The sequence below is a fragment of the Homo sapiens genome, chromosome 4 (assembly GCF_000001405.40).
Source record: "Homo sapiens chromosome 4, GRCh38.p14 Primary Assembly".
Classification (NCBI taxonomy): Eukaryota; Metazoa; Chordata; class Mammalia; order Primates; family Hominidae; genus Homo; species Homo sapiens.
The window spans coordinates 99636098-99659776 of NC_000004.12; the positions used below are offsets into that span (position 1 = coordinate 99636098).

Here is a 23679-nt window from a genome sequence, read left to right on the forward strand (position 1 = left end):
AGGGACGACCACATTACTTTCTGGGGCCTCACTGTGGACTCTCAGGGACACATGTTGTCTGTGTTGCTCTTTGGTGTCAGTGGAATGTCAGACACCTTGGTAGGTGTTCCTCACAATGCTACTTAATGAGCCAAGCTCAGATCAGACTCCTTAGGTTGGCCAAAATACTCTAGGTACAGGAAGTAAAATACTCTGGGTACAGACAAAAATCAATACCAGACTTCTGACCTCCAGAGCTGTAAGATCATAAATTTGTGTTGTCTTAAGCCACTAAATTTGTGGTCATTTGTTACCACAGCAATAGAAAATTAATAGTACCTGGATGTGAAATACTAATAGAGTATTTTAATTAAATGAAGGATTTAAAGTAGAAGAAAATAAAACTATCCATAGCTTGTTTTTTGAGTTAAAGTAAAGACAAACAATGTACGTTTTCTTTGAAGTAATTTTTACTGGGAAAAAAAAACAATAAAACATTTTTTTTCCAAAACAGTCAAAATAAAAGACCATTACACAAGATTGCACAATCATTTACAAATGCTGGCAATTAAAGGTAAGTAGCCTAGTCTCACAGAATCCTTGTCTAAATAGTTTACTCCATATTCAATGCACTGAAAATGTGATTCTCAGAGCTGTCGAGATTCAAAGTTTCCTTGGCTGGATTCAAAGTCCCCTTGGCCAAGCTCATTGCATTCTATAATTGAATCATATCAGACCTCAGGTAGGAACTTTTCCACCAAGATTCCTACGTTGAGAGCAGTTTAAAATTTCACATTCTTCCCATTTACCACCAGCTTTTTTCATAGTCCGGGGTATAACATTATCCAATATCCTTCCCCATTAATCACACAATTTACTCTCCTTTTTTCCAACATAACTTCTACAGTGTTCACATTCTTTTCAACCACTGCTGTCTTTAATATACAATAGTATGATTTATGTGTAAATACAGAAACACACGTCTTCAAAGTGGGGATAAAAAAAAGCATCACCTGCTATGGATACAGGTATGGTAGATTATTCAGGGAGCCCTGGAAAGGACTTTTTGCCATTAACACTAGCCATAAAAAGCAATTATGAAACTTAAAAAAAGAAAAAGAAATCAAATCAGATGTGTGTGTTTTATTCTGCACCATTATGAATTAAACAGGAATAAATCTAATAATGTGTTCTAGTTGCAACACGAAATACTGAATGTTAATAGCTTACAAACGCTGCTCTGAACATTCAGTTCTCTTCTGAGACACAGGACACACAAAAGAATTCAATTTTCAGACTCTTCCCCTGGGCCTAGTACTCACACGTGCCACAGACGGACATGTTTTTTTCCCAGAGGACCCGAGTCTGCAATTCTGATTAGATTCAAGCTTAAGGCACCAATTAGCAAGTGCTACATGCTTTATTAATGATTTTATGCACCTGTGAGGTCTACTTAGGACCCAGAAGCTAGTTAAGAATATATAAGCAGTCTCTTGATAATATATATCTTATTTCTACATATATCTCCTTAGAAATTATGTGAAAGCCTAACATATTTTGTGAATTTGATTTTTATAAGCAGTTTTATCAAACAAACTTACACAAAAAATTTCCCCCTCAACAGTACTGATAAAATACAGGGCACCTTTTTCTTTCAAGTATTTGGGTGAAATAGCATACCCTGAGAATTTGGGGTGCAAACCTACACCTTGTAAACTGTAGAATGAAACTCCTCAAGCACCACATAAGAAAATGTATACCATGATAGTTTTAAACACAAAGACTATTATTGAATGTTGTTTTCCCATGCACATATACATACTTATCATGAGATTATAGTCAATCTACTTAGGAATCAATACTGTCCTGTCCTGCAGTCCAAAGTATTATTTCAGGTAACGTGAGCATTCAATTTGTAGCAAACACAGACTTTGATTTCTATGAAGTATGAAAACAATTAAAATCTATCTTTTTAAGAGGCAAGGATGATAATGTCAAATTTGAAAATAAGAAAAAGGAATTTATATCACCAGATATTTCCAGTGACATAAGGATGTATTAGAAATGCATGTCAATAGTTGAGATTTGTTATAAAGATATAAAGTGTGATTTGCTTTAGCTTATTTACTCCCTGATAAATGGACATATAGAGAGCCTCTCTGCTATGTCATTACCTACATATCTGGGCCTTCACTTAATCCTGAGGGCAACTTCATTGAGTACTTTTTAAAAACATACATTCTGGCGAATTAAATTTTTATACGGTTACACATGTGTTCAGTTTTCCAGAAATGATTGAAATGGGACATATTTCAAATATGACCATTTTATCAACAAGTAAAAAGTGGATCTTCTGGAAAACTAAGCCACACATATAACCCTAAGAGGATATTATAAAAGCCAGACTCTGCAATTCTGATTAGATTCAAGTTCAAGGCACTATTTAGGAAATGTTTTACTAATGGTTTTATAGTAATAAAAAATAAAAGGGAAGTTCAGTAACTAAAGGGACATTATTAGGGTAATAGTTTTATGGGTCAGAAGGCTTCATAGGCTCTTGTTTGATTCCCCTTGAGCTATAAAAGGAAGGGTATATCACTTCATTCAAATATTCATGCAACCTCAAGAAATGACAAAACAATAAAAATCAAGATTGAGATTTACCTCATGCCCGTGAAAATATTTTTTCCCTATCACTGGAGGTAGTGAATGGCCTAGCAGCTTTGTATGATTTGGTGAAATAGAGAACCATAAAATTATCGATAGATGACATGATATTAATAGAACATTATTTAAAAGTTGCGTTTTTAGCCACTTGGACATCACTGTGTCCTTGGCAACTTCCTAAAAGGTGAAGCCTCTTGTATAGAACAAACAAATGAAAAGCTTTTTCTTTCTTTCCTTAGTTTGTGTCCTAATTTACCTCAGTGTGAGAATTTAAAACTCAAATCTGCTGGTGAGAAACACTGATACATAGATTAGGGGTCCCAAGCCCTCAACTCTACCACATTTTCTAGAGAAGGAGTTGTCTCTCTTTTGGAAGAGTTGGTGAGCAGTCACTACTCAACATGGCCACTGGTTTTTCCTGAAAGTCGCATTTGGCTTTAAACCAGTCTTAACAATTTTGGTACTATCCACCCAAATCCTATATAGGTTTCACCAGGTGTATTCAAATACTGGAGGTTTCTTGGTGCTGCTTTCAGTAAAATAAGTGTAAGATTTCTGAAAGGGATTCTACTTTCTTGGGTCAATATTAAGTTACCTTATACCCAGCCAATCTCTCCTGAAAACGAGGAAGCTCTGATGCCATAAGATTTGTTCCCCAGTGGATAAAACTTACTTTAAGTTCTGGGGGGAATTGATTGATGTGCCTGGGTAAGAAGACCTCTATGATAAAGAAATATCTTTTTCTTGAATTTGGCACAAGGGCATCTTTTTTATACACAGAGACTATGTTTCATATTTCATGTCTCATAAAGTCTATAGCTTCATTTCATAGCTCATCAGCACAACAAGCAATTGAATCGTGATCAGAGCTGACTATTCCCGCCTCAAACCTTTCCCTATACCCAAGAGAACTTTTTTTCAGAGTAAGATCCCTTAAAGGAAGGCCCTGAAAGTGAAATTAAGTCTTTTTTAAGAGTCTGAGATGGGAAGCATAACTACAAAGTAAAAAGATTATATAAATCATACAAAACTCAGTCTCCTAGTTTTTTACTCACACTTTTTGTCATGAGTAGCATAAAATTCTGTGGCTTATGAAGAAAATTTAAGCAGAAATCAAATATTGCTGAGGTTTAAAATAATATTAGGGTGTTTAAAAAATTACCAGAATGCTTTATCTTTAAACAAATTGGTAAATAAAAGGAGATTCTTAAAAAAAAATCCTGGGAAAACCTTCAAATTATTCCTTTAAAAAGTAATTAAGTAATATTTCAATGTAACATTTGCCAAGTATATATCGATACACTTATTATGACAAGCTAAATATTTATCTGTTCAATCAAGTCTTCCAGTCTTCAAGACTCCCTGTGAACACTCACTCAAATAGCCTTCAGAATTGGGTTACAACTGAGACAGTACTAAATGTCAATAAAAGATTCTGTGATTTGGATTCTTGACATCTCTTCAAACCTGCCTCATCCTCATAAGGAGCAAGTGCTGTAACTCTAGGTTACTGTTATTGGGATAGCGAGGCTAGGGCTGGAGTGAATCAGAGCCACTGAATTAGTGCCATATTCTACTCTACTGCCCCAAATGGGTCACTCTTTAGACTCTAAACAATCCATGAGAGACACGAGTATGCAACTATGGAGGGAATTATTGAAGAAAAGAAAAATGTTATGCACCCACAAAAATAATTGGATTCTTAAAGGAAAATAGATATTTTATACCTTTCTGAGACTAAGTACTTAATTTTAGATGCAATCATTGGCTTTCCAGTATTTCAAGCCATTCTATTTTAAGGCAACAAATAGTGTCGTGGCATTGTACAAATGGGAAAAATAAAATAAAGCACAAACATTACAACCACCATTTTTCACAATCACATTTGAAATCATGCCAAACCTAATAAAAGAACATATAGAGCATAACCAAGAGAATGGGTAGGTTTGGCTGATATATGATTCAAAGAGCAGACCATCATAGTGAAAACTTAAATACGTATTACAACTCAGCCAGCTAGTCTTGATATATTCCAAGAAACTATAAGGAGATTCGTGATCCAAATTACTCATTTACTAGCTTGGTTTACAACAGAATCAATCCCATTCTGTGGTATGTTTTGACTGAACAATGGGAACAAAGGAATTGTTTGTCTAGTCACAAGTACAGGGGGGAAGGAGGTGAATAGAAAGCTTATATCCTGTGTTGAAGTATAAAAAGAAATAGTCATAAAGGGAAAAAATGCAACCATTCAATCAACTTAATAAAATTAAAATAAAAACTGCCTTAAGAGGATTGTTCAGAAAAATATAGAAACTTACACACTTAGCTTATAAGAAGCAAAAATTAAGAATAACACATGTGGAAGAAGTTTTTCAGATGAAATAATTCTTAGTGCTATTACAATGCAAATTCCAGATTAAAGAAGAATAGTCCATCTTTTTGTCTTGCTCCTATAAAATAAAAAAATTAAGAAAAAACATAGTCAAGGAAAAGATTTTTAGTTCTAAAAGCAAATTTCACTTTTACAAACAAGAAAAATATTAAAATACATTTTATTTAACTGTTTGACTAATTTCAATGTTAATAATGAAGTTAACATTTTAACATGTGCTTGGCAAATGTGTTTATGAACTTACTAAACATTATGCCAACTTCAGGAAATTGCCCCAAGTGGAATTTGAATCAAATCTAATCAACTCTTCAAAAATGACTTTAAAGTTAAATGTTCCGTTTCATTGAAATCATTCATAGCAAAGATAAAATATTATAATAGATATGTTTCTAATATTAGCATGCAGAAATATTTAAGCTAAATGGAAATATTTGAAATTTAGTTATCAATCTTATTAAATGAGTAAACTCCATGCTGAGAATTCTTGTAAAGCAAATGACCAGTACTTAAATTATGTGGAAATTCACATAGTACATTTTGTTCAAAATAAGATGTACTGGTTAGAACCTATCTTAGTTAAATCCATTCTAGAACAGCATTGACATGTTCAAAAGCTTGCTGAAGGTTAGCCTTCTCTCTCTATCTCCATATAAGTTCTAGTATATCTACCAGAACTTTGCCTAAGTAAGTTTTTTTTAACATTTGGGAGTTGATATTTGAACATAATATTATGAAAACAGAAATAGAGTGGCCTACAGGTAATATTTGTTAGGGATTAAGAAGGCTCATGTGAAAAATAACCTCCAAGAAGTATCAAATAACAGCTATCTAGCCAATTATATGCACTCAGAGTAGCAAGGCAAGGGACATTTTAATTCTGTCATCTAGAAACAAACCTGTTTAAATATGTGTTTTAAAAAAGAAGTCTATAAGAATAATTTTTAAGCTTATATGTATACACTCCATGTTTATTTTATTGTGTTGTACTTTATATTGAGGAATGACCTGCAAGATGAAAGGGACCATTGTGAATTTGGAGACCTCTCATTTGCTAAATGTAAGTTTTTCTACCTTAGGACATAAAAAGCAGCAATACGAAAAGAAAATTTAATTACAAGAGGGAGAAAAGAAAATGTGGGACTGAGAAGAATAATTTCAATGTGGATACAAGGATTTGATAACAACTCTGACTGAGTCCTATCACTAGGCAAGATTTGCAAAGACTCCTTGAGCAGTGAGAAGACATTAAGGGGAAACAGAGAGAAAAGAAAGAAACAATCGAGAGAGATTGCACTATAGGACGGTAATAGTCTGAGAAATGAAGGAGAAATCTGGTTATACAATCTGCTAGGATCATATTTAGGGATTGATAGTGTAGATATTGCCTTTTTGGATAGTCACAGAATATCGCTTCTGCTTACATTAATTTCAGAGGAATTTGGTTTGAAATTGAAAAGTAGTAAAGTTGCTCCCAATTCCTATTAAAGAAAAAGTAATAAAAATCGCCAATATAGCTAACCTGTTAGAGGCCTCACAAATATTTACTGCAGTAGAATGGATCACGAAGAAGTCAGTAAAGATGAAGGGATGACTACCCTGTGTCACCAGGGAGTTTAACTGGATGACTTCCCACGGTTTTAGGACCAGAACACATGACAGAGTTCAACAGGGATGCTGGGTCAGATTTTCCCTTTCTCCACGCCGGCCTGTGCCCAGACAGAGGGGAAAATCACCGCACACAGCTGGCAAGCTATGCTCAGAGTTGTATAACATTCTGGAAGGCCTTGGGGGATACTAGAGTACCCTGACACACAGCCAACTGGCCTGCCCTGAGAGATCAGCCAGCTAGCTCAAAGAGGACTGCAGAGCTGTGGGCACTGCCTCCGGTTTGGGGAAATACAGAGCAATCCTGGGCACAGGTCCATGATGCTTACCCTGGGAGTCTGCATTGATAAGGGCTGATTTTCTGCTCTGGTGAGGGGCCCTGAGAAGATAAGGGGATTCTGAGGCATTTATGAGGATCTAGTTTCAAGGGAGCTTGAACACCTACTACGAGCAATGTACTATGTGCTATGTCTTCTGTCATGGTTTTATAATTCAGTCTTCACTACTCTCCTGAAATGTACCCCATTTTACAGATGAGGAAAATGAGGCTCAGTGACAACAAGTCACTTGCCTGGACTACACTGTGACTAGTAAGTAAGACTAGTTACTTAGACTAGTAAGTAACAGTATTAGAATCTGAGTTGGGGTTGCCTGACTTCAAGGCACACGTACTTGTGATTTAGTAAAAGCCACACAGCTTCCCTTCAACTAAAATGCTTTAATCCACTGGCATCCAAGAAGATTTCACCCTTACCTTTACAGCGCACATTCTTCTGCTTTACATAAACAAAAATTCTCCTACCTCTGGGAGCCACAGCTCCTAGGAGTCCTTAAGCTGTCTCAGGTTTCTTTTTGGGGCATATAATGTTCTAAGGACAGCTAGTTTTTTAATCAAATGAAAAACACACATAGAGTTTTAGTATATGCTTAACACTGACAGATTCAGGGTCAGTTTCTTACCTTATTCCCTTTCCCTGCCCTTTCCCCCAAGCCACAACACACACACACACACACACACACACACACACACACACACACACACACACACACCCCCTCCGCGGCAGTAAAACGGCCAGAAGATTCTATTTCCTCTGAATGAAACAGAAATTTGGAAAATTAGCAGCAGGGCAGCCAGTCAATTCCAACTGTGTTCTTTTCCACCATCCACAAGGACTTTAATGTTTCATATAATTAACCCTTTAACGTACTGATGTGGCCGAGAGGAAAAATGCAATGGCTGAAAAATTTTGGAGAAGTTAGGTAGTGGGAAAGTCCTGACACAAAGAACAAATAAGAGAAGAGGGACAATTTACAACAAAGAACTGAGACCAGCGAGCAGAGAATAAGACAAATAAATGAGCAAGGGGGTAATCTATAAGAGCACGGGCCACGGAGCTCCAAGTGCCTGGATTTCAATAGGTGTTGATCTGGGATAAGTTAATGTTTAATTTGTCAAACAGAGATTAAAAATAGTACCTATCTGTGTTAATTCAATGATGTTAAGTCTTGGTATATACTAAATGATTAATACATACTAGCTTTTACTTTTAATTTCTTATTAATTTTAGATAAGTTAAAAAAGAAAATGTAAAGGTAATGGAATCGTGAAGAAAGGTACAAAATAGTAAGCTAGAGGAAAGCCACAATGCAATTAAAGGGAAAGGGAGAAAAGAAAAGGCAAAAACAAACAAATACATTAAGAAGATAAAATAAAACAGAAGCTATTTACAATAATTGGGAGAGGAAGTCACTACCAAGTTAGTGGGGAAAATAGAAATAAACTATTCAATTCATGAAGGTAACTATGGAATGAAGTGAAAATAAAACGTCTAGGTTATAGCCTGCAGATTAGCTACCTGGCCTGCATGCACCGGAGCAGCAAATTTCCTGTCCTTCAGATGACTTGCGTGGGCTCCAAGTACAACGCTTCAAGAACATTCAGGTGAGGGAGCTGGAGGACTCACCCAGTCCTACCCTTTAAGCTGTCTAATCTATGATAATAATAAAAAAAAAAACTACAAAAAAAGTGAGGAGAAGGGAAGAAGCAAGGTGGTGGAATGTTGAACTAAATCAAGTTGAAGTGAATGGAAAATGAGAAACCGCAATAAGGAACAAGTTGCAAAAAAAAAAAAAAAAGCAAAGGACAGAAAATAAATTCTCAAGCAAATGGCAATGGAAAAAAGAGAGACTAGTGGGACAGACACCAGGAAGTAACTCCATCAAAGAAAAGTGGCCTTAGGGAGAAAAGGAAAAGGAGAAATGGACAAGAAGAAGAAGGCGCCTGTGTACCACTGAACTCCAGCCTGGGCGATGTAGTGACCCCATCTCTAAAAAAGAAAAAGACTCTGGCATGGAATATTTAGGTTTTGAGTCCCAGTTCTGTGACTAAGGAAGGGTCACTTAACCTCTCTGAGTGCCAATTTCCTCTTGGAATTTCAATACAAAGAGACTGGGTTTGATGATCTAAGGACCCAGTCTAGGGACTCATTAGAATAATAAAACAGCTCTCCCTGAATCCAGCCCTTGCTCTTGCTACTTTAGTTGCTGATGCATGGGGCCCTATACAGGGGGTAGAAATAACTCTGAGGGACTAAATAGAAAAGAAAGACCAACAATGCAGGAGCAACATGAAACACAGGGAGAAATGAAGAAACAAAGGCTTACAGTAAAAAAAAAAAAAAAAAAAAAAGAACATACAAATGAAACAAAATAATTGCAATTCTCTTAGGCTGATATCCACTACTTGTGCCAATGAAAGTTTTCTTTTGTTAATATTACATATTTATTTTATCTTTATGCCCTTGTAAATGGTATTTAGCATCAAGTCCCAATTAAAATCTTAAAACAAAAATACAGCATCTAAGTGGATGGGCAGGAGAGCATGTCAGGAAGGGAAAAACATAGCCATGTTCCTCAAATAACAGAAATCTAAAAAAAAATTCTCACTAAAAAGTTGTCAAAGATCATGTGAAGAGGGAACATTAAAAACCAAAATAGGCAGACAAAAAGGCCTAACAACAACAAAAAAGAAAGTGGTGAAGTTTTGCAACTGCTGTGCCTAGTACACTGGTGTGTTGCAATTGGATTACTGCTGTAGCCATCTGGGCAGTTGGGTCCCAGGTGGTACACAGCCTTGTGCCTTAATCACAATGTGAGATGAGAGTACTGAATAATAATAAAGTGAATAATATTATCTTTTTAGATGGGTTGTGGCATGGCAAAATCTGAGAATAACTGGGATATTGACCACAGGATGAAGAGAAGTGAGAAAACCCCACCTATAATTTTTTTTTTAATAAAGGAACATTTATAAGAGAATAATCAGAAAAAGATAACAGCAGCTGTTTATGTCCAAATATATACGGGAAGGAACAAAAGTGAAGCTCCCTATTGCAATGTAGTGCTAAAAATAGATGATGAAATACTTATTATTTGAACTGGAATGAATCTTAAAGGTTATGACAGTTCTTGAACACTTGTTTTGCAGTTTTGTGTGTACAAGTCTACACTCCTGCTGGAGTGTAGGCCCCTAATTTGTGTTATCCGTATGTGGGTTTACGGCCCCAACAGGGAGTACACAGTGGCTCGTAGAATGTAGGCATGTAATTCATGCTTGTTGAATTAGTGCATTTTGTTGAAACATTCATTTTACAAATGTCCAGAGAGGCAAATGGAAACACAGATGGTTAATGGCCAAATGCCACCACAGAGCAGATCCCAGGTGTCCTTGCTGCCAGTTCAGAGCTCATTACCACCTCCTTTACTGTCCCTTTTTTGCTCCATGCCTCACACCAAGGAACACAGAGTGGTCTGCAGGGAGCAAGGTGTGGCCCAGGAGTTAAGAGCTGGTTCTAAAGGTCCTGGTTCTCTCATTCTCTGGGGACCTCAGTAAAACCATTTCTTTCTAAGTCCCAGTTTTCTTCTCTGTGAAATACTGTGGTCAGATAAAATCATTTACACAAATTCTCATTTGAAAAGAGGACATAAACCTACCCTACCTCAAAACAAATATCTGCAATAAGTCTGGTTTTTAAGGGAAATTTTGACCTGAAATCCCTTTCAAGATTTCTCATACTGACCATCTTGAAATATCTGAATGGTAGTTACAACTTTTTTACACAAGGAAAAGAATTACACACTTAAAAAAAATCCATCTGGCTTTTCTTTGGAAGGTGGTATTGAATGTTCACAAAGGTGAGTTTTGAAAAATTTTTAATTCATTATTTCAATTTGGCTAAGTCAACTTTTACCTGCATACAAAAAGCTAATCTTTAGCTGCCAGCCAGATTTGGCCTTTCTGTCTATCTTTAGGGCTTTATTTACTAAAATGAAGGTCGTGCTTTCAAAAAGGAAAAATTTGCAAATATCACTATTCAAGTCCCAAACACTAAAAACTCTAATGTATATCTGTGTCTACTGGAAAAAACTCCAAGTCTAATCTCTCTAGACTCAACAGACAGGGGAAAGGCCAAAGGCAGCTGCTTAAGAGGATACTGTGCAAGTGTGTGCCCGATCCTCCCTTCTCTCTTCCCTGTCCTCCCTTCCCCTTGCTTCTGCACCTCCACAGCTTGCACAAAGGCCTCATAGCATTAGTTGGTCCAAAATAGCCCTAGGTAAACACACCACCTGTCTAAGCGATTAAAACACTTTTGCCTATAGGCTACTCTTTTCCTTCTGCGAAACTAATTCTCTAATTCTGAGTCTCCTACCCATGCATATTGAATTTTTTTTTAATTTTCTACACTAAACAAAAGATGACTTATTTGTCTTTAATTTTCTCCCTCCCCTCTTCATCTGTTATCATCACACAGTGTCTGTTGCAGACTATCCCAGAAGAAGAATTTAAATAATGTATTTCTAGATTGCAGCTAAAATGAGGCTGTGCTTTCAAGTGAATTCTTAGAGAAAGATTTAAGGGTTTTTTAAAGTGTCTAATATTGTCTTACAGTCCAATAAGTGTAATAATATTCAGTAACAATCTCTTAATTTGAACAAAATTTTTAGCTTGCAATACATTGTTATATCATCTGATATTTAGATACATGTTTAGGGTTAGATATTATTTATTGTCCCTACTAGAGGTGACACATGAATGCTAAAAAGTTTGTCATGCCCAACATCACACAGCTGGTGAGAAGCTGTGTGACTCCAAAATCCAGTGATGCTAACTCCCGAATGAAGGCTCTTTCATTGCACAAAGCAACAATATTCCTGTTCCTTTTCAGTTATAACAGAGAAGAGAGAAATAACATATTTTTTATTATAGAAGCATAAATAGGATTTCTCTTCTTTCCATCTCTTTTTTTTTCTTTTTTTTTTTTGGTTCAGAATATGATCTTACCAAAGACTGAAAGTCCTAGAAGCTTTTATAATATCACCTTTTCCCAATCTGAAGAGAACAGGAGTGTAAGGGGCAAGTTTGTCCCCACACAGTTCTGACACCTTTACGCTCCTATCTGAAGGTGTCTTTGCCCTGTCATGTGTTTGACCTGAAGTGTCCCGGTTTGAACAAGTAAAGCTCACTCTTCCTATCAAGTTCCATGTACTGTATTTCCAGGGATTCCTGTTTGGACATTTGGATTAACTTAGTTGTCAGGAATCTATTTACCCTGATTTCCTTTACCTAGGGGTAGGTGTGGAAGTTGATTCTTTTCTGAAGAAAGAATGCAGACATGAAAATAACAGTCTTGTGGGGATTAGCAGCAAAGCATAATGTGTTCAGTCTGGACAGGACTGGATTAAACACAGCAACTCCATTCAAGCAAGGAGTAACTGCAGCTCCAGAATCCTCCCTCCCCCATAGAGAACAAAGTGTGTGTGTGTGTGTGTGTGTGTGTGTGTGTAAGACACATTAGAGACCTTGAACTCATCCTGAGAACATGTTCTGATTATCTGAAAACTGAAAAACAAGAGCTTAAAAAATACAGTCGCTTTGTATAAGCAATTTCAAAAGGAAGATACAGAGGAGAAAGAAGCTTTTCTGCAGATTTTAGAAAATGTTCCTACAAGAAAACATCTGTCTTTGCTTCTCCATACTTCTGGGGAGCAAACAGATTGAAGGGGTTTCCAATGACCTCCTGGGATGTTCAGTGCCTCCTGTCCCTGGGACTGTCATGAACAGAGTGAGGCTCACTCCACAAAATCCAAGCTGGGTTTTCATTTCTTTGCCCTGACAACGTTCACCACGGACAGACTGAAGGAACAGACCCAAGGTTCACTTCCCTTCTACTCTCAGGTGGGAAAAAACACTCAGGCAATCTGAAAAGGTCAAAGGGCAAAGGCCGACCTTGGGGACTGAAGCCTAGAGAGAGGGGGAATCCTGGCAAAATTATCCCCTTTGTAAATTGGATGCAGTTTTGTTCTATTCTCTCAAAACATCCATTTCTAGAGACAGCCTCCTTTATTGTAAATCTCTCACTTCAAACACAAACAAAAAAATATTGTTCTTACTCTCTTAAACCTGATTATCAAAGTGAAATTCACTTACCAGCAGTTTTTCATTCCGCTTCCTGGTGGCTGCTCATCATCTGTGTTCTACCACAAAGCTCATGGTGGTGCCATCAAAGGAAGGGGGAGCAATGATCCGTGGCCCCAGGGGCTGCGAAGTAATGCTGATGACAGGCTTGCCATGCAGCTGGGCAAAGGCCTTGGCCCCTAGGAGCTGGGATGTGGCTGCTGGGGCTGAGGAGGTTGAGGAGGCCGGAGACTGACCAGAAGCCATGAAGTATGGGGCCTCGGTGAACGTTGCAGCTGCCTCTTTGCTGGAAGGTTCTGCCACCATTGGGGAGAGCTCACTTCCTCTTGGAGCGCGAGCAATTGGTGTGGGCTGCAGAGCATTGGTGGGCAGCACGGTAGGCAGAAACCCAGGGTAAATCATGTAGGTGGGTCCATAAGCCCCAGGACTCAGGGCCAAGGGAGGCACAGAGATGGACATGGGAGCCACAGCCTGCTGCTGGGAGGTCATGGGCACATCCACATACTGCCCTGTCTCAGGGTCAAACAGTCTCCGGGTCATGGGCTGTACTGGTGTGTCCACCAGATAGTACTGGCCTGTTGTCACATCCAGGAGCATCTTACGCTGGGTCTGTTGAGGCTGTGCCTGCTGGAAGGGGTCTGTGGGGACGGGAGCTGAGGCTGCAGGTGCTGGGGCAGGCATGCTGGGTGGGGAGAAGCAGAGGACCTGAGGCTGGGCCCCCTGTAGGGTGAAGGGCAGCGGCGGCTGGTGGTAGATGGTGGTGGGGGGATGCTCGGGGCTCTGTGGCCCTGGGGGGGCAGCTACTGTCTCCCGGGGGTTGTCAGGTTTGGTACGCCAAGCTGGTCGGCTGGTTCCACTAACCTGAGAGCCTTTGGAGCTACTGGGGACCTGACTGCGGGCACTCAGCGGGGGTAAACTACAGAGAGTGGCAGCTGAGGAGTTGGGGGGCCCCTCCCTGGAAGCCCCAGGCCTGCTAAGAAGCTCCCCTGCAGCAGAGCTTCCTTTAAGAGGGATGGTCAGGTAATTCTCACAGTCACTGTTGCTCTTCTCCAAATTGCTGCCACTTTTCCTGTTGGTCACCTCATCAGGAGGTGCCCGGGTGGCTGGAGAGATCTTGAGGGACCGGAGTCCCTGCGACTTGATGCCCTTAGCTGCTGAAGGACTCTCCGGAGAAGGCCCTTGTGGGAACTTGCCAGCGACACCCCCAGTTTTCTGGATGCTGCTGGCACTCACTGTGAACACGTTCCGGTTGCTGGGGAGTGGTGGGAGGGGCTGCAGGGGTTGGGTTCTCTCTACATCCTTGTGGACTGGGGGAATATAGAGAGATCGGGGTCTTTCCCTGGCCAGGTTCTCAAAGGCCGCTGCCCTGGCAGACACACTCTCAGCGCTGGGGTTGGAGTTTCTCCGCTGCAGACGTTCTATGGGGGCCCCTCGCAGGACCACACCAGCTTTGTTTCCTGTGCCCCGCTCTTCCACCTCACCCAGCCGTTTGGACAGCTTGTCGTGGTCTCCATCAGCAACCACTACCCCTTCCCTCTCCTCACTGGCAATGAGCGACAGCACGTGGCTGTCCATCATCATAGGCAAGGGGTCGCTTTTGCGCTTCCACTCGTTCCTGTTGAAGCTGTACAGCTCTTCCATGGACCTCACGGCTGCAGTCAGCTTCTCCAGGGCATTCCGGGCTGGCTTCGTGGCTTTCCCTTCCTCCTTGACCTCCTCCTCCTTGAGCTTCTCTGGGGTCTTCTGGGTGGAAGCCTTGGAGACAATCTTGAGCACAGGCAGGTATGAGCCCTGCTCGGGCTTATTGGGGGCAATGGTAGCCACAGGCAGCCTGCCAGATGCCCTGTGAACCAAGACTGTCCCTTCTGGGGAGGAAGAATTCAAGACTCTGCTGCCGCCCCCTTTGCCCATGCTTTCCCTGGGCTCTCGGTCCATGCTGTCTTCCCTCTGGTTCACTACAGCCTGGCATGTAATCACCATGGGGGACAGGGATCCAGATCCGCCAGCTGCTGCAGACAGCTGCCTGGGTTTGGGTCCAGTCAGCCCCTGCTCTGGGGTAACACTGCCCTTGTCACTACTATCCCCTGACCCTTTAATTAGTTTCCTGACATCTCTCACCTGGTGGAGGGGGCCTTGAGCCTTGGACTTGTCTCTGATGTCTCTCACCTGGAAATGGGGCACTTTTTCTAGGTTGTCCCCGCGGAAGAGTTTCTGCTGTGCCCTGCTGTTGTCCTCGATGGTCTTGAACAGGTTAGAGGCGCTGCCACCGGCCAGCTTGGGCGTGAGCAACTTGGCAATGTTGAAGTCTGAGCTCGGCTGCTGCACACTCCCCAGCCGGATCTTGATTTCGGGAGCCTTGGGTCTGATCACCGCTGTGGAGGTGGCCTGAGCAGCAGGGTACTTGGTGGCCTGCTTCCTCGGCTGCTTGTCCTTGGGTGTCTGCTGGATGTTGGGGACAAAGAGGCGAGACATGATGGTGTTCTTGCTGGCAGAAATCTCCCCGAGATCAGCCCGCCAGTCGCCTCCTTTGGGCAGCTTCAGCTTCCCTATAGGGGCTTGTTCCTCCCTCTTCTCGGCCTCTTTCTCCTTCCATGACCGGAACGCACTGTTCTGACTACGGAGGAAGATGCCCTTGACGGTCTCTGAGGCACTCTTTTTAATTTCACACACTTCTGTGTGTCCATCGGTGAAATTCCGGCCAGGGCCTGCGTTGCGCTCGCGAGGAGTACTGGCTTTGAAGACTGGAGATTTGGAGCCCGCCACGGACCCCTCCCCGCCCGCGTCGGACATGCTGACCACTGTGTACTCGGAGCCGGCCTCGGAGTGACGAGAGCTCTGCCTCTGCAGGCCCCTCTCTCGCTGCCTCTCGCTCCCGCGGGCGCCCTCCGTCTCCTTGGAGGTGCCTGAGAGGTGGTGGGATGTATCCATGACTTCTCCCCTCTCCATTTTGAACTCGTGTTCCCGCTGCATCTTCTTGGAAATGACATTTTTGAGCAGACTGGAGGCGAACTTGGACTTCTGGGGGCCATCGGCGCGGGAGGTGGGCTTGCTGCCCTCGGAGGTCTCGGAGCCGTCGTCCGTGTATGCCGACCCGGGACCCTTGCCGGGGCCTTTGGTGGCCCTGCCGGGCCCAGGGGCCGAGCTGGCTTTGCTCTCACTGCGTACATTCAGGGGCTCCAAAAGGGTGACGACGCGGGAGCCCGTCTGGACCTGCTTCTGGAAACACAGGGGCGTCTCCACATGTTTGATTTCCCCCTCGACTTTGCTGACCACGAACTCCAAGGCCTTGGTCTGAGACTTCTTGGACTGGATGTAGAGCTGGTCGGCAGTGGCCCGGGCCCCACTGCCCTTCCTCAGACCTGCAGCCACAGAGGCCGCGCTGCTCCTGAGGAGGCTCTGCTCCACCCTGGCCCCAACACCCCCACATTTTAAGTCCAGGAAAGTTGACCAGCGCCCAAAGCCCACTTCGGAGAGCGTGGTGGAGGACTCCCGGGAGCTGATGTTCAGAGCCTCAAAGTAGGGGTAAGCCAGGCTCCGGAAGGCCCGGGAGGTCAGGTTACGCACCTCTTTGTCCGCATCGTCCAGTTCGCTCACGGCACTGGAGGCTCCGCTGGAGTAGTCCACCAGCTCCTTCGCCCGGATGGCCCCGCACCTGGTTTGCAGGCGAGCAGGTACAGCAATGAATTTCTTTGCATGGTCCTGAGCCACTGCTGCAGCCGGGTTTTGCTTCAGCGAACTTGAATTGTGTTCAGCAGCTGTAGAGACGCGGAGGCTCATGTCGCCTTCATGCTTGGCAGCATAAATAATGTTTTGCTTTGCACGCACGTTGCTAGGCTCATTTATAGCCCGGGAAGCCGGTTTGATTGATAGGAGGATCTGGCTTGCTGCACTCCCACAGCTGCTTGCGGCGGCGGCTGCTGCCCCTGAAGCTGCCTCCGGGGTCTCAGGCAAGGGCTCAGTCAGGGGGGCAGTGCCAGGCCCAGTGGGTGGGGGAGTGGGGCCACTGTCAGAGGGGCCACTGCCCACTTCGGTGCTGCTGGTGTCGCGGCCACTGCGGCCTGCATTGGGGCGGGCCAGGTCGCTGCTTGTAGGGCTGGGCGTCCGGGTGGTGTTGGTGCTGGGAGTGGTGCTGAGGTAGCAGCTGTTGTCGTCGTCCTCTTCGGTCAGACTGGTGATGTCCCCTGGGGTCTCGTCGCTGCCACCAAAGGAAGCATAATCCACGAACGAGTAGATCACGTTGTTGTCCTCGAAATCCCAGCGGGAGGCCAGTCCCACGTCGAAATCCATGTCCTGTTCCACCTCACTCAGCTGGATCTCATGGGTGGTGATGTAGTGAGCCTCTTCGACTTTGGGGGGGTCCCTGCTGCCCTGGGACTTGGCAATAATGTCCCTGCACTCTGTTCCATCTCCTGCCCCTCCTCCCCCTCCTCCTTTTCCTCCTCCCCCTCCTCCTGATATTTTCTCTCCTTCTCCTCCCACGGCCTGGCAACCTTCACTTTCACCACTCTCACTCTCGAAGCCTAAGGATGAAGAGGAGGTGGCCAGAGCCCCTGTGGATGTGGTGGAGTCCTCCATTTTGGAAAGGCCATCCTCTTCTGCTTTGTTCATCGGGGAGGAGGATGAGGAAGATGAGAAATTGCCACCCTCTTCAGAGGCAGAGTGCTGGGATCTAGAGAGTTGGGAGGAGGCAGGATTGTTCTGGGGGCTTGGAGTCTTGCTGCTGGGTTCATCTTGGGCTTTCTCCTTTGGGCTCCTAGAGGCCCTCTGACCCCCAGGGCAGTGCCCCAGGGTAAGTTTCATGGTCTGGGGACTCTCCCTCTGGACTTCAGCTGAAGCACACATGTCCACATATTTCGCTTCTCGCTGGGAGGAGGCTGAAGGCTTGGGAAGTGGCCACAGCTGCTGCTTGAGCTCCTGGCTGTCTTGAGCACTGCTCACCCCGTCCCCCACCTCCGCCTGTCTTGCTTTCGAATTCAGCTCAGGAGGGGCAGCTTCCATTATGAGCCCTTGCCCAGGTTTCAGCGACAGGAAGAGACAATGGTGATCGCTGGGGAAGTCTTGGGTCCGTCTCTGGCCCCGGAGGGGCTGCAGAGTTGCCCGAAGCAGGGTCCCACGTATCTGGACTGGCCCCAAGGCTGTAGGCACTGCTGCCACTGCTGCCACCACCTCCCAGTTCTTCAGCCCCTGTGGCGGGGCCGCAGCAAGCCTGAGGGAGGTGGGAAGGCTCCTGGATGAGGCGGTGGAGGTGGTCTGTGGCTGGGGGGCTGCTGCTCCGGCCGAGACTGTGGCCAGTGTTCTGTAGCTGAGCTGTCCTGTCCAGTTGTTTGCCTGGCACCGTCGGCAGCAGCGAGGAGTCTGAATGCCATCGGCCACGGAAGAAGCAGCATCTGTAGGTTGACCCCGGGACTTCCAGAAATGAAAGGAAAGCATGTGCTGTTTCTTGTGAAGCCTTGTCCCTTTCCTGGATGGGGCGAGAGAAGGTCACGTCATTCCAGAAATATTTTTAGTGTCCATTCCGTAGTCATATCGAAACCACACTTGAGGGTAGAAAGAAGAGGCTCTAATGAGATGAAAAGAGAAGGTTGGGGGTGGAGGAGGCATGTGGATTCTAATTCAAATCAGCCAAATGTTCTATGTAATCTATTATAGCGATGTCTAGCAAGTATGAAATTATTCTTTCCTCACAGCCATCTTTCACTCTCAAGTTTTTGATTAAATGGTTCCCCCCACTTGTTCTTAAATAAAATTCAAATTTTTCACGCATTTCGCATGAATTAAGGACACTCTGGAAATATTTCAAAGTCTCCCTGGTACATATGGTAGCCTTATATTTGCCTCAAAATCTATGCATTTCTTTTTCTTTGGAGAGCCAAATCAGATGAGTTTTGGTAGTAAAACTTTTCATAAGAATAGAATATTCCATCCCTCTTTCCCCAAAGTTACACTCTATGAAACACGACCTGTTTGGTTCAAAATAGAAGAATCTCTCCTAGAATCCTTACTGTGGTGACTCAAAGTATAAAAGGGCAATTTTCAAAGACCTAAACTTAACACTTTAAGCAAACTTTTCATTATGGTCACTAAAAAGGGCACATGGAGCCAAAATTGACACTACTTCAAATCCCTACAGTGCCTTAATCAATCTCAAAAAAGATCCCTAAACTTGTAGAACCATGGCAAGACAACAAACCTCCAATTAAATATAGCCTGAGCTGCAGCCTCATGATTCGGTTACGCTGGCTGAATTCCAGGCCTGCAGGGCACTGAGTCAAAAAGCAAAAGAATAACAAATACACTTACCCTTCAAGAGTACAGTGCGGCTTGGAGGGAGATTCAGAGAGGAAATGTGACCCACTGGCATGCCCCATGGAAACGAAGCCAAAATCCCCGTTCACTGGCTCTGAGGTACCTCCATTTCAGACAATTTGGTAGTTGTGCAAGCAAATTTGCCAGTCAACTTAAGATGGGGGTCTGTGCTGGCCATCCTCAGAGCTGATTCCTTGGGTACTATCGGTGGAGAACCATGATGCTTGATTTTGGTGAGATCTGACCCTTGTCACCTGCCAGGCCCAGTTCCACCACTATACATAGTCTATGTGTCACTTATGCCGATTGAATAAAGCACTATTTTAAACAACCACATTTGCAGGGAACAAAAATAACACCATCAACCATCCCCTTTCAACATGAATGCCACCTCCACACAGAAAAATGTTCTTTCCTCCGAATAGGCATGTGGGTAGGTATGGAGTGGGAGCCCCTAACAACTGAAGCATCTACCTTCTCATACTTGGGCTGTGGACAACACAAGCCTGCCGTTATCCTCTCAACTCCTTTCTGCCCACACCACTGCCATTAAAAGTATGACTTAAGGCAAGACTAAAAATACCAAGAATCAGAATATAGACATAAAGCCAGAGATCTAGGTGAAGAGAGTAAAAGAGGAAAGGAAAAGGAAAGAAACAAAGAAAGGAAGAGAATGAAAGAGTAAAGAGCGAGAGAACTTGCTAAATGTGCAATCAACTCTTTGATTATAGAGAGCCATGTTTTTTTTTATCTTAGTTTTTTTTTTTTCTTTTGAGACGGAGACTTACTCTATTGCCTAGGCTGGTGTTCAGTGGCATGATCTTGCCTCAATGCAACCTCTGCCTCTCGGGTTCAAGCAATTCTCGTACCTCAGCCTCCTTAGCAGCTGGGACCACAGGAGCACCCCACCACGCCCAGCTAATTTTTGTGTTTTTAGTAGAGATGGGGTTTCACCATATTGGCAGGCTGGTCTCGAACTTTTGACCTCAGGTGATCCACTCGTCTCGGCTTCCCAAAGTGCTGGGATTACAGGCGTGAGCCACAATGCCCAGCTCTTAGATTCTTAATGATAGTAATTACAATATTCACAGCTAAGACTTACATAGCATTTACTATGTGCCAAGAACTACTTGAAACATTTTTAAATGTGTGTGTATTAATTTATTTGATCCCCATAACAACTTGATGAGTTAGGTGTAATCATTGTTCTAATTCCTTATAGATGGAAAAGCTGAGGCAGAATGATGTTAAGAAATTATGTGACAGACTTCAAACCCAGGCAGTCTGGCTTCAGAGCTTGGACCTTTACCATTATGCTACACAGTGTTGCTGACTTCCATGCTCAAATACTCTGCAGGGCACCCGGATTCACAATTAGAAGGAAGCCACTTATCCACTAGGCAATTTCATTTCATCTGCGTGACCACACATATACCATATAACTTGTTTGTTTTTTCTGGTTTTTCATATAACAAAACTGTGTACACATTATGTACTCAGGGATTAAGGATCATAATCCTAGAAATAAAATGAAATAACATATAGTTGGCTCCTTCAGGCAAGCTGAGTATTTTCAATGTCCCATTTAAATTTTGCTTTGAGGCTAACCGTGTCTTGGACGATAAACCATGAACACAGCTGTGAGCACTGTGGTGCATACATACTCCATAGTGGAATAGAAGGCAGAGTTTCTGCCCATCAAGTCAATTATAGTCTAAGGAGGAATTTTCCAGCACTTTTCATATGGCCTTGTCTGTCATGACAACAGATTTCAGCTGAGTTTCTCTCTGCAGTTGGCACACTACAAAATTGGAAGGTCATATGCCCTAAGTGTAGGTTAAAACATAATTGCTTAATACCCAAAGTTCTGAAAATCTACCTGCAGCATCTTGCTTCCTCCACAGAGCACAGCCCTAGTTAAAACTCCCCAAGAGGCAAAGAGAGAGCATCATTCTGACAGTAGTACTTACCTCCAAAGTATCTGTGTGGCTCCTTTACTGCTTTCTAGCTAAATGAATGCCAGTGTAGGAAAAAATTTGAAGAGAAATCTTTTTCAAATGAAGTCAATTTCCAGTCGGGTTTAATTCAAACCACAAATTCTCTTTAAAAACCATGTGAGCTGAAAATTTTGAATAGAACAGACTCTATTAAAAGCAAAAAACAACTGATAAATAGAAAAACGATAAAGGCTAAAGTAAAACAATTAAGAACCCCAAACTGCTTTCCCTCTGGCATTTTCAGAGTTCTGGAGTAGTATATGTTACTATGAAAATGGATGTTGTCAGTTTTGTTGAAATAACTTGCAGTCATTAGGTAGCCATGGAGCCTTTTATTCCTTAATATGACTACAGTCATTTTTTTAACAGATGAACTCAGTGATTGCCTACCTGATCTCAACTCTTGAGCAATTAACAGTGACTAATGTCACCAGCATTAAACCATATTAAGCAGGCATACTTGCTAGACCAGGCTAGGTACACTTAGTTGATAACTTTATATGGGAATTCAAAGAGTAACAAAGGCAATGACTCAGTATCATTATTTTTATCTCTGCAGAGAAAGTTTCTTAGCATTCCCTGAAAGTGTTGGAGATGATGGTATGTAAAAGAATGAAGGCCAGACTATCCACCAGTTGGTAAAAGGACACGGCTATATTTAGGGTTTCTGACAGTGGCATAATAAGATAAATAAATATGTTATTCAAAAGGAAGAACAGTTTATCAAAGGTGTACCACTAGACCAGAAATGAAGAGAGAGTCAAACTCAGACTCAAATAAGGAGTCAGAAAAAGGATTTACCAAACACAGACCTTCTCAGGATTTTCTGGGATGTGGTGGGTGAGGGATATTCTCTGACTACCTGAAATTTTGTGTCAGGCTTTCCATAGACACTTGCACAGCTATTCACACACACTGATGGAAAGGAGTCTCTTCTGCGGGCCACAGATTAATACTCAGAGGGTGGCCAGCTGTTTCTCCTCCTGGCCAAGGTAGGCATGCAAAAGAATTACATCTGAAGGAGAGGCACCGTATTATCTTTTTTCCTGAGGGTGCCAAAGAGTGCTATTTATTTGTCTATTGGGGTAAATCCTTTACATATTTTTGCTCATTACTCCTCTCAAACATACCATGAAAGAACAACTATTATTCCCATTTATAGATAAGAATTGGAGGCTGAGTGAAGACATGTGCCCTGAATGACTTTTCATAATCATAAGTGCTGGAGCCTTGATTAGAACCCAGCTCTGAGTGACTGGAGCTCACGCTAAGTTGATGATTGAGCATTCAGTCTATTTGGTGGAGGTCACAGGGTCATGCCCACTGCTGGCCAGTTAGCTGTTTCACAGCCTCAACCAGCTGCCTGCACACAGGAACAGTTGGTCACCATGGAGTCCAAGGAAACGGAGTGGCAGGATTAGTATAAAACTATCCCTGTGAATAGAAAAACAGCATGTACCGTGAGGATGAATAAGTAGCACTATCTTCTTGTGCAAAGAAGAGCACGTTATTGTAGAATCATGCCATACACATTGTAGATGCAACCCCTTAGCTATGCCATTAAAACTTGGAAGGACAGGAAGAAACAATTCACCACCAGAAATAAAACCTTACTAACAGCCACTCAAGCCTGCACACAGAGGCCAGAGGTGATGCAAAAATGTTTGCTACTTTCCCCCTTGCATCAGGTTGTATATCAAGGAGTCACTCCTCTCTGATCTCCCTCCCTCTCCTTCTCCTCTCTGAATGGTCTGTTAGGCATCTGCCCTCCCTTTCCTCACTCCCATTGCCCCTCTTTTTCCTCTTAGTACCTGACTTGTTGTCCCAGATAGTGGTTTTCATCTGGCTTTCTCTCAAGGGAGTTGTGGAAGTTTTGGTGTTTCAGATTTTGCTGGATAATGGAAAATTATTCCTTCCAGACTAGCCTCAGAATGAAATATCAACAGGACAAACAAATCTTTCTCTATATAATACTGGCAACTTCAAGTAGCCTAACCCTAAATCTTGGTCCATTTTATCCGAGACCTCTGTCTGTTATCCCAGCATGAACGATATAGGACCCGAAAAGTGAGTGGCCAAGGATACCCTCCCCATTGTGGAGGGCAGGACAGAAGAGCTGCCTCATTAGGCTTTAAGAAGTTACTGTAAGTTTTTTCAGGTTGATGTTGAAACAGTGTTTCATTAACCAGCCAGCTCAGCTACCTGTCTATGAACCACATGAGTGACTTATTTCTGTGATTTTTTTTAAGAAATAA

General features: G+C 42.8%; 1 protein-coding gene across 2 annotated transcripts; it reads right to left on the reverse strand.

The window, feature by feature from the left end:
• Positions 1 to 431: 431 nt before the first annotated feature.
• On the reverse strand, positions 432 to 21731 carry C4orf54 (chromosome 4 open reading frame 54). Of its 2 annotated transcripts, none has more exons than NM_001354435.2 (3): positions 21398 to 21731; positions 13134 to 18582; positions 432 to 5099 (listed from the first exon to the last, which is right to left on the reverse strand). In NM_001354435.2, the coding sequence occupies exon 2, from the start codon at positions 18549 to 18551 to the stop codon at positions 13170 to 13172; it is 5382 nt and encodes a 1793-aa protein (NP_001341364.1). In that variant the 5' UTR covers positions 18552 to 18582; positions 21398 to 21731; the 3' UTR covers positions 432 to 5099; positions 13134 to 13169. The 2 variants fall into 2 exon arrangements, with proteins under 2 accessions (NP_001341364.1, XP_373030.5); XM_373030.12 differs by lacking the exon at positions 21398 to 21731 and adding an exon at positions 19422 to 19763.
• Positions 21732 to 23679: the final 1948 nt, after the last annotated feature.

Coding starts and splice junctions, on each gene's coding strand:
- C4orf54 (XM_373030.12), bottom strand. CDS start 19,489: ATGGGGCATGCCAGTGGGTCACATTTCCTCTCTGAATCTCCCTCCAAG. Junction 18,583..19,421: donor CCGCACTGTACTCTTGAAGG/GTAAGTGTATTT, acceptor CGCCCCATCCAG/GAAAGGGACAAGGCTTCACA.